This window comes from Homo sapiens, chromosome 9 (genome assembly GCF_000001405.40).
Source record: "Homo sapiens chromosome 9, GRCh38.p14 Primary Assembly".
Taxonomy (NCBI): Eukaryota; Metazoa; Chordata; class Mammalia; order Primates; family Hominidae; genus Homo; species Homo sapiens.
Window position 1 is genome coordinate 20321116 of NC_000009.12, and position 11674 is coordinate 20332789.

An 11674-nucleotide genomic window follows, 5' to 3' on the forward strand; every position below is an offset into this window, starting at 1 on the left:
AAAAATCCACACCAGCTACTTCTGATGGAGTTCTTAGCGTGCCTCTTTCAACTGGATTTCTAAACAAGGAACAATGTAATTGGCAGGTAATAACAGGCTAACAGGATTGTCTTAACAGATACTGGTGCCTTTTCAGTTCAGACTTTCACCAGCCAAGAGGTTCTATACAAAAGATCCACACATCAGAGCCATGTGATGAGAGGCCAAAACACTGGAGAGCTGTAACCCTGAATGAAGGAGTCAGGTTTACATATTGATTCAAAAAAAAATTGCTACTCTTATCCCTGTGTGACATCATGCTTTGAATATGATCATTGAAGATGTTACTTGGAGTGCAGCTACCTTGAACCCTCGGTGAAATGAAATGGGATAGAAAGGAGTAAGATTGTTGGGGGCTTTAACTACCGTTCCACACTTTTGAAAGTTAGAAAAACAAAGAGCAACAGCAGCTGCCTCTGTGTTGGTAATCATATTTTCCACCAGCAACTGGCTCCCATTGGTTGGAGCCAATCCTTTGCTGTAACAGAGGATCTAAGCTGCCAAGAGAAGGTCCTCATGTTCAGATAGAGCAATAGAGCGGAGCATTTGAAATGAGGAGCTTCACACCAGTCCCCTGTAGGTCTGAGTGCCTGAGGCTCCCTGCAATGCGTGCACACAGTCATTATGCTGCTCCACAGAAAGAGATGGGAGCTGGATGAGTCCTTCCCTGATGACTTGTATGAGCTAATGATCCTACCGGAAATAGAAAAAAAAAAGAAAAGAAAAAACACTAGTCATGTGATTTCAAGACAGTGACAAAAGCTTAAGCTGAGGTTGCCACAAAAGGTTGTGGGAAGGGGTGTGGTCTATAGGCATGGGTGCAGCCAGGGCTGAGAACGACTAGTTAGCTGAAAACAGCTGCTTTTCTTCACCAAAATATATGGGTGAATAATGCACCCTGTTTTCCAGGGGGATAATGCAAACAAGTGCTCTGTCAAGGTAATTTTTGTATTCCACAGGGATGGCGGGGCCATGTGGGGAACCACAGCTGTGGAGTGGGGATGTAGTATTGCTTAGAGCCAGGTGTGTGGGTCCCAAAGCAGATGTCAGTGCTTAAAATTAGTAGGAATGGGAGAGCCATGCCTAGATCTTTGCTCTGAGATACAGTCGTAGTACCCAAAAAAGAAGTTCCGGTAGTGGGAAATGTAGATTTAGAGCTGGGCTGTTTGACGGGAAGGCAGGGAATGGCTTATGCACCAGCAGAAAGCCAGTTTCCACCTTGCATATCCAGTGAGGTTGCCACAGGGCCATGACCTTCATTCCTGGGGTGCCCTGCCCTCAGCTCATTGGGTGTCTGTGTGGCTAGAGTTTGGTTCTGTGTGAGGAGCAACTTGGAGGGGGGAATGGACTTTAGCTCAATTCAACCAACATGACTGTATATTCACTCGGCATCAGGTACTGGGATTTCAAAAAACTGGACATTGATGTAGCACACTGATAATGGAGCCAAAATCTAAACCACTCTGGAAAATCCAGGGTGACCACTGTACTTAAGTGCCACAAATAGCTATTTTGCATAATCAAAGCTTTGGGCTTGAAGGCTTTGTTCATGCTTTTGCTGCTCACTCATGACCTTTCTCAGGAATTAGTGCTGCCATATGTTGGAGATTTACCTGTATTAGATTTTCACATGCATGAGACTCGATCCTTGGCTTCAACTCAGCAAATGTCTATCTCTCTAGGGCTTCCTATCCAAATCTTTCCAGTCTTTCAAATGCCTGTCTGGGAGAAGAAGAATTTTGGACTTTCAAAACAAAAGCTAAGAAAGGCCTAGTGAGCCCCAGTGGTATGAACCCATCCTGTGCTCATTCGCATTCTACTCAGACTTTCTGCCATAGCAATCTGTTTGTTGTAACCCAACCACACTTCTAGCAAAAGGTAACATTTGGGGACCCTGCTCTAACAAATTTAGAGTAACCCAATTCCATGTTTTCTGCACTGAGCAACATGTACAACTATCACCTTGAAAATTATGCTGGATCTCAGTTACTGAGTCACATCTGTCCGAGATTAGTAGCCCCGAGGGCTGGGATGCTTAGTGCTAGTTTCATATTAGAATCATCTGAGAAGCTTGAAAAAGTGTTGGTACCTGGCACCCCACCACCAAAGATTCTAATTTAATTGTTCTTGGTTGGGACAATGTTTTCTTTTAATCTTTGCTAGGCTTCATAATATTACTGCTAATCAGTTTTAGAGAGTGAGTGCTTATAACCAAACTCCCAGCCTGGTTTACTACAGCCCCTGTATTTCCTCCTTGATGCCATTTAGCAATGACCCATGGACTTTTGATGACTGGACATCTTTAGTTCTCTGGATGGAAATCTGAAGATGAAGGAGACCTTCTGTGCCAAATAGAAGCCTGAGATTTTTAGTGAAACTAACATACGTCATCTGGTCTTCGTGAAACGATTCTGAGGTTTCTAAGAATTTCCCACAACACTGAAGATTGGTGGCTTAGAGTTTATTGACCCCCAAAGAAAAGGGTATGTTTGACTGTGAGATACAGTTGTCCTTGCCATTTTCAAGATATTACCCACTGTCTTTGTATTGAATTACCTTAAAAGTATTGACTCATAGAAGCAACCCACATGGTTAAACCCAACTTTAATCCAAAAGTCTTGGTCATCAACAAGGTTTTCTCCAACTATAGAAAAATGTGCTCCCCAAATTTGCCACATTCTCATTCTCTCCATGTAACAAAAAAGAAACAAACTCTTCATTGTCTGGCCCACTTGGATCTTTTTATCTCAAATAATTTTTTAAAAAATGCTTATGTTGGCTTGGCTTGGTGACTCATGCCTGTAATCCCAGCACTTTGGGAGCCCAAGGCAGGAGGATCATTTGAGTCCAGGAGTTTGAGACCATCCCGGGGAACATGGCAAAACATTGTCTCTAAAAAAAAAAAAAAAGCCAGGAATGGTGATGCATAGCTACAGTATCACCTGAGCCTGGGAAGTTGAGGCTGCAGTGAACCAAATCGCACCACTGTACTCTAGCCTGAGTGATAGAGTGAGACCATGTCTCAAAAAAACAAACACACAACAACAAAAAATCCAAAAACCAGCTTATTTTGAGGGTTGGGGGAAATAAATGACGAAGGCTAGATTCATTTTGGACTCAATTCTAGCTCCTCAGGGAACTTTGAATGTATGCCATTCTTGATATTTATATTTAATCCCGACTAGGAAAGAGGGAAGTCCAAGATTGCTGGATTTTTGTCTCTCCATGCCATTTAGGAATATCTCAAGACTCTTTCCACTGGAGTTGAAAAACACCAGGTCCTAGTTCTGAGTTACTTCTGATACTGAGGTGTTCCTCCTAGGTTTTCAGTACATTTTGTTTACATCTCTACGTGTTTCATTGTCTTATTTTTGTTAGCTGGGTTTGTTTCCTGTCTGCCTCCCATGAGGTCCTTCAGGGCTGAGGCTGAATCTTTTCTCCTAAATGCATCCAATCTGAACCCAAAGTCGGTACTCAAATGTGTGACAATAAATGAAGACACAAATGAATGATGTATCAACTCCCCCCAAAGCTAGCTGCAAGGAGCCTAGCTGTAGGACAAGAGGGAAAGGCCGTGGCCACAAGGGAGTAACCATGCGCGGAGCCTGGACTACAGAGATTTATTGCTAAGGCTCATGCTTTTGCCTCCATTTGCCCACCGTTGTTTTGTCAGTCAATGTCTGTAGTTGTTGAATAACATTCATTTATACATTATTTAGTAGGTGTAATCAAAGTCCCCATGATCACGGCCCTGCTTTTAAAACTTGCCTCTTATCTGTAAACACATTTCCTGAGCTGCTCTATCTTTTCATCTTGTCTAGGTGATCTATAGCAATATCCCAGAACCTGCCTATTTTCTTTTTAATTCCCTGATGGATTATAAATAGCCTCTTCTAAACCTCCCCAAAGCTTTGACGGCAAATTCCTGCTTTCTAAATTACTATCCACCTCTTGCTCCGCACTCAGACCCCTTCAGGAGGCTGTCCTCCTTCCCCAGGGCAGACACAAAAGCCTTCTACACTTCCCTGGCGTCATGCTAAAGGAACACTATGGCAACGACCAATGTTTGGAACGATTGCAGCCGAACACACACATCGCTCACTGCTTCAAATGCTTAATAGCGGTGATTAAAGAAGAGAAATCTGGCATAAAAGAATGGCGGGAGAAGAAAGCAAATGAGAGAGAACAATGAGTGACAGGAGAAAAGGAAGGAGTGAGGAGAGACCTGAGGGAAACCTGGGAGAACAGAAATGAAGACAAGAAGGGAAAAGGGAACAATGGGGACCAGAGTGCACCCCGGCCTGCTTTCTTTGACCTTAGGCCCTGCACATTTGCTAAAACACCCAAGTCTGTCAAACCACCACTGAAGCAAATGCTGTTAGAAGAGGCAACGTGGCTGGAAAGAACTCGGTGCTCTGTGATGCCCCATGGATCCTTTCTATTCTGCAGATAAGAGAGAGAAAAAGCCCCATTGCCTAACTTCCTGGATTGCAGAGAAACTGCTGGGCACATGGTGGATCCGGGGACCCACCGTTCTCAAGAACTTGCTGTAATGGGCACCTTGGATGTACACTTACGAAGGATTGTGTTTCCAAGACACTTCCTCCTCCACTCAAAATTTGCTCATACTTGCAAACAGGAATCATCTTCTACCCAAACCCCCATGACCATCTCTCAGGCCAGAGTTGAGCAGCCAGGTTGCCCTTCTCTGAGCTTGACTCTTTCTGTGTATTAATTTTCAATTTCAAGTCACAACGTAATCCATTAAGAAGCACTTATTCTCAGCAAACCTCTTGAGCAGGCTCTCATTTGCTATTTCTCAGTATAAACTCATTCCTACCTTCCGGTTCAGTGTTGACACTAAATTTGGCACAGTGGCTCAGCACCCACCTTCATCCCTGCATCAATCTCCAGTTGGTTTTCTCATGCCTCCACACCATCAAAATCAGCCTCGGCTTTTCTGAATCTCCATGGGGCTTAGCAGATGGGGTGGCACTTCATAAATCCAGTCTATGCAAAGCTGTTAGCAAAAATGCACAGAGGGCAGCCTCTCGGCCTTCTGTGGGTATGCTCTGAGCTGCTCCAAAGGTATCCTTAAACATGGTATCATTTTGAGCCTCTAAACTCTAAATAGCTAAGCCTTCTCTACAATTTATGCCCCTTGGCATCCCTGAAAGTGGGTAAACCGCACTGGTTTTGAGTGAACATCCTTTAAAAAAAACTCAATTTCTTAGGATCCAAGTCTATATGATTGAAGGACACAGAAATGTACAAACGTGTTCCCAAAGGCTTGATGCTGTGTAATTGTAGGCCCCTCTTCCCTGGAGTTAATCTTTATTGTGAGTTTACCATGTTCCAGGCATTGTGCTGATTTTCAGGCATTATCTCATTTGATCCACCCCCAAACTCCAGAATGATCTTTAAAACAGAAATCAGATGATGATGCTTCTCAGCACAGAACTCTCCAGTGGCTGTCTCACTTGGAGGAAAAGTAAAGTCCTACTGTGGGCTGTCATGAGGCCCCTGTGAGCTCTCTGATGGTGTTTTCTAGAGAATCACCTTTCAGTTCTGCACTCTAGCTGGTCTTGCGGTTGCCCTCATTTGTCAACTAACTCCCCTCTCTCCCCTATGCTTGTCTTTTTTACTCTCAAATGTCATCTTCTCAGGGAGAAGATGGCTGCCCAGTGTACATTGTACCTCATCTCCTCCCCACATCCCATTCGTTGCTCACATTCTCTTCATTTCACCCCCACTGTCAACCTGCTACATATTTGTTTACTGTCTCCACCAACTAGAAAGTAGCTGGAGAAGGACAGGACTTCTGTTCACTTTGAATCCCCAGGACCTACAAGAATGGTGTTTTCAATAAAACATTTTTTAGTAAATAAATGCATTAAAGTATTCTTCTTATCTCCATTTTACAGTTGAGAAACAGGTTTAGGGAGGTTAATTAACTAAGGTCTTAGAGCCAGTAAGTACAACTAGTACTATGGGCTCACCAACCGCTATTCCCAAGTTCAAAATGTCTTTTTTCGCAAGTTCAAAATGTCTTTTTGGGAAATATTTTTGCCATGCTCATTCAATTGGGGGTGATTTGACCAAAGTGGGAAGCTGAGATGGAACAAGATGAACAAGAAATCACCGGGAGGCTGGGTCTGGAATCTGCTATGCACACTCACACTCCTCCAGACTCACTTATCTTGTAGGGTCTCCTCACGTCACTCTTGACATCGACCAAATTCAATCCTTTATTAAATATACACCATAGCATTAAAGTGCAGGACAGATAAGATCATATAAATTTTTTGACATTTTGAGGAACAATGTGACACTGCTATTAATATTTGTAAGTATCTTGGAACCATTTACTAGATGCAATGTTTGTGTGAGGGAAAAGATTATATAAAATGAGACACATCAACCTCAAATACACTAGTCTGTAAACTCCTAGAGGGTAGCTACTGTGCTATATTCTCCCTGATTAGCACCAAGAATGATCTATTGTAGGCATTCGATAAATGTTATTGAATGGATAAATATCTTTGGAAATGAAATTTTAGTTTTGTCTGCAAGAGCAGATTTGGATAGTGGCATCTTTTCCAGGCCAGGCAATGACACACAGTTGTATGAAAACAATGCCAGGGCAGGGTCAGTTACATTTGAAAGAAAGTCATAATCCCAGTGGAAAGTTTTACAGATGAAATATATAGTTGCATGGAATATCCTGTTATAAGAGAGAAACCTGGACAGAATCTGCCACCTCAGTGCTGGGAGGGAATATATGTTGTTGAAATGTGGCCTCCAAACAGCCAGTCAGGAGGTGGGTTGCTCTCCAGCCATTAAAAACATCCCAGAGGCCAGGCACGGTGGCTCATACCCATAATCCTAACACTTTGGGAGGCCGAGTTGGGCAGATCACTTGAGGTCAGGAGTTCGAGACCAAGCCTGGCCAACATGGTGAAATCCTGTATCTACAACCCCGTCTGCACTAAAAATACAAAACTTAGCTAGGCGTGGTGGTGGGTGCCTATAGTCCCAACTACTCAGGAGACTGAGGCAGGAGAATTGCTTGAACCAGGGAGGCGGAGGTTGTAGTGAGCTGAGATCACACCATTGCACTCCAGCCTGGTCAAAAGAACAAGACCCTGTCTCAAACAAAAACAAAAACAAACAAACAAAAAAAACCCAAAACCAAAAACAAAACCATCCCTGAGGGAAAGACAAATGGCCATGATTTACAACCAGAAAGTTGAATTGGTGAAGCCATAAACAAGCAGTCTAAAAAAATCCCAGCTGAGACTTTTTCTCTATATAATCTCTTCTTCCTGCCCCATCAGGCCTCAGAGCTCTGCCATATTTCCCTTCAGGGGAGGAGAAGGAAGCCCCACTGAGGAACAAAATTTCCACAAGTACCCCTGCTTCCTTGGGTTTGTCCAAGTGCCTGGGATATCAGGAAGTGCCTTCAGGTATCCAGCACTTTTGGTTCAAGAAACAATATAATTCCTTATCCAACCACCAAACTCCTAAAGGGAGGAAGGCCAGCCTTCAAAGTGGACAGCCATCCAGATGACATTCTAGATTCCTCCTACTGACCTGGCAACACAGGGAACCTCTACTTGAGTGAGCGCAGGACATCGTGACTAGCTTCCAATAAATACAATATGGCAAAAGTGATGGGATATTATTTCCATGATTAGGTTATAAAAGACTATTACTTCCATCTTTCTAGCAGACTTTTTTTTTTATTTTTGAGACAGAGTCTTTCTCTGTCACCAGGCTGGAATGCAGTGGCGCGATCTCGGCTCACTGCAACCTCTGCCTCCCAGGTTCAAGTGATTCTCCTGCCTCAGCCTCCTGAGTAGCTGGGGCTATAGGCGCGTGCCACCACATCCACCCAATTTTTATATTTTTAGTAGAAACGGGGTTTCACCATGTTGGCCAGGGTGGTCTCGATTTCTTGACCTCGTGATCCGCCCACCTCGGCCTCCCAAACTACTGGGATTACAGGCGTGAGCCACCACGCCTGGCCAGCAGACTCTCTTACTGGCTTTAATAAAGCAATCTGGCAGTTTGGGAAGCCCAGGTGGCAAGAAACTGAGCGTGTCCTTCAGCCAACTGCCAGCAAGGAACTGGGGCCCTCAGTCCAACAGCCCATGATAAAACTGAATTCTGCCAACAATCACTAAGCGAACTTGGAAACACCATGCCCCAGTTGAACCAGTAACTTGGTTTCATCCATAGGAAAGGCCCTGAGCTGCAAGATCTAGCCAAGCCATATCTAGATTACACAGAAACTGTGACATAATAAATATGTATTGTTTTAAGCTGCTGACTTTTGAGGGCAATTTGTTACACAGCAATAGATAATCCAATATAATAAAAATGTAATGAAAACTCAGTGAGATACACATGCAAAGATTCTTGTTAAAAGTGTGAAGCTTGGGATCATAGGATACTTACAGTAGATACTCTCTGGAGGAGAAGTATGGGGTCCTACTTCACAATGCAAAGCTGTTCATGCTATTCCAACCTCCACCCCCACTATAGCTGCCCATTTATCCACTAAATCAAGCACGAGTTCCTTAGTCTAGCAACAAGGTCTGACATCATGTGGTCTCTGCCTATTTCTCCAATTTTATCTCCTGCTTTCCTACCACTTGCACTCCGCCTTTAAGTCATACCAAACTACATGTAGTTGCCCCAAATGCTGTATACTTTTCTCTTTTTCCCTACTGTTCCCTCTGCCTAGAATGCCTTCCTGTACAGGTTCAGTTACAAGCATCTTTGGTGCTCTGTAGAACTCCATTCAAATCCTTACACTGTCCTCTCAACTCTCTTATACCACATGTCCACCTGTCTTATAACCTTTGGTTTCTTTGTCTAATACCTCTCTAGCTGTAAGCTCTGTATTGAGCCTCTTCTTCAACCTGGGATCCTCAGAGCTAGTTTGCAGTCTGGCAAATCACTTCAGTCAACAACTAACGAAAGAATAACTGTGGGATGGACGTGCCAGAAGGAGAAACAATTATTTATTGGCTTAACTGTAATTTATACCATGCTATTGAAATAATAGGCAGTGTAAAGGACCTACATTCAGGAAGGTTAGTAGCATACAAAATTAAAAGCCACATAGAAGGATGAAAAAGCAAATCTGCCAAACAGTAGGCATGTTTGTCACAATGAAGGATTACATTTCATCCTAAGTTTGCCATCAGACAAGCAAGAAAATTCCAAGGAATTATGAATTTGCCTACACCTTCCAATTGGGTTCATCCTCAAAATTCCTCCATTAAGACAAAAGAAAGGCTTCCACATGGTTTGTGAAAATTATTCAGGTTTCCATGCTATATATCAGTTCTACTCACCTTCCTGGTGTACCAAATCAGTTCAAAGAGAAAGAGGAGGGGATTTTAAAATGAATATCTTATTTTTATGCCCTTCAGGAAATCTGCCTTCCTCCCCATTTGTTACCAACTAAAATTGACAAACTGACCCAGAGTTAAATCAACTTAGGGATCACTCAAGGAGTGAAACCAACCACCTTTTCATAAAGAAATGCTCAGAGAAGAAGGTAGCAATTACACTTTATCAGAGAAAATGTCTTTCTTACAAAGTATAGCCATCAAGTGGAGATGTTTGATGATCCTTTTAAAATATCTTTAAATCAGAAGTAACTTAGCATGGATGCCCTTCATTTTGAAGAAAGAGAAAATATTTGATGATTTGATGATTCATCAAAAATTTGTTTCTATGCAACAGGCTTATTGTTATGAGGGATTTCAATGCAAAATTAATAATCAGCCTTGGAAAAGAAATGCCTTGAATCCTATAAAACTGAGATGACTTAAAAAGTTCTATTCCTGCTCAGTCAACTTACTGAAAACCACCATCATCTTTGATCAACAGAAGGGAATATATCCAAAAGCTAAGCTAAAATCTCTCTTTCTTTAGGTCATAAATCAACTCTGCAATCAAGACTACGGAGAGTCCGTGCCACGCAGATGGCTTTGAGTTTTATAAATTGGTTAGGTGTGGGGACATGATCAATAGTTTGATGATTTGACTAAGTAAAATGTGCTGAAAAAAACCACCTGTAGGGAGGACTCAGATGACTCTGCACAAACATTCTTGAACTTGAAAATCCAAACTGTTAGTCATATTGAGACTAACAAAGTTAATATATGCCACCAAAGGAGAAGGCTATATCATCTCAGGGAAACAATTTTTGACTGTGCTTAGTATTTAGGAAATAATGCATTCATTGAAAGGTAAAACTGGCAGTAGGCTTACGATGGCAATGGGCAGTGCCAGCAGTGGCTGTGGCATCCTGGAGCAGGAAGATTTGGTGCATTTCTAGTGCAGCATAGGCCAGAGTGACGTTTCTGACATTTGGGATGCTACAGCACTGATAGAAGTGGATGATAAAGCTGTGGCTTCATTTAAACAGGCTCTAAAGAATGATGACATTTGTGAAACCTCAGATAAACCAAAAAGCATGCCTAATAGAAAACCTGCTAAGAAGCATAAAGGCCAAAAAAAGAATACTGTAACTTTCTTGAAGTAGTGGAAAGTTGGGGACAAATGTCCTGCCATTTGGTCAGAAGACAGCTGCATTTACTCTGCTACCATTGCTTCAGTTGATATGAAGAGAGAAAGCTGTGTTGTGATTTACACTGGATATGGAAATAGAGAGGAGCAAATCTGTCTGATCTACTTTCTTCAACCTCTGTAGCTAATAATATAGGACAGAATGCTCAAAAGAATGAAAATGAAAGTCAAGATTCAATGGATGAAAGTGAGAACTCCAGGTCCTGGAAACAAACCATTTAGCATCAGGTCAGAAGCTACTCCATGGAATTCTGAGACCACGAAAGCCAGGTCAGGTCTCAAATTCAGTAGCCCACCACCCACACCACCCTGCTTCCCCTCATGCTTGCTGCCTCCATTTCCTTCTGGACCACCAAAAATTCCCCCACCACCTCCCACAGGTCTAGATTTTCTTGATGATGTTAATGTTTTATGAAGTATGCTAATCTCTTGGTACATTAAGTGGCTATCATACTGGCTATTATACAGGGCTCAAGCAAAATTAAAAAGAGGGAGAGTGCTCACGTTCCAATTAATGAGTAAATATGCCATTATTATAAAAGTGAATCTTACTTTTGTAAAATTTTATGGTTTGTGGAAAGCAAATGTCTTGGAATATTTTTAAATTTAAAATGTTAAAAAGTTGAAAGGTTAATGTAAAACAGTATTAAAGACATTCTGATACCAAAACTATTAGATAAAAGGTTGAGCTACATCCCTACTAGAATTCTCATGGTATCAAAGTATCACCTCACCAAAAACTTACTGGTTGGTTGTGTGGAAAAAATATACTTTTACAATAAAGAGTTCCGTAGGCTCTGATGACATTTTACATCACTAGTAGTCAGAAAAAACAGACATGTTTTCTGACCTGTGATGCGGTATGACCTACGCATACTGCACTGGTACACTCTATGACCTGTGAAGTGCTCTGGTCAAAAAACTTTAACTGAAATTTAATCAGGCCTTTAGATCTAATTTCCTGTTTGCAGGAGATGCTAGGGATAGAGCAACAAGTTAAATGACACCACTAAAGAAACGATCAGAC

General features: G+C 42.2%; 1 pseudogene; it reads left to right on the forward strand.

Annotated features, from left to right (window-relative positions):
- On the forward strand, positions 10323 to 11169 carry SMNP (survival of motor neuron 1, telomeric pseudogene; annotated as a pseudogene).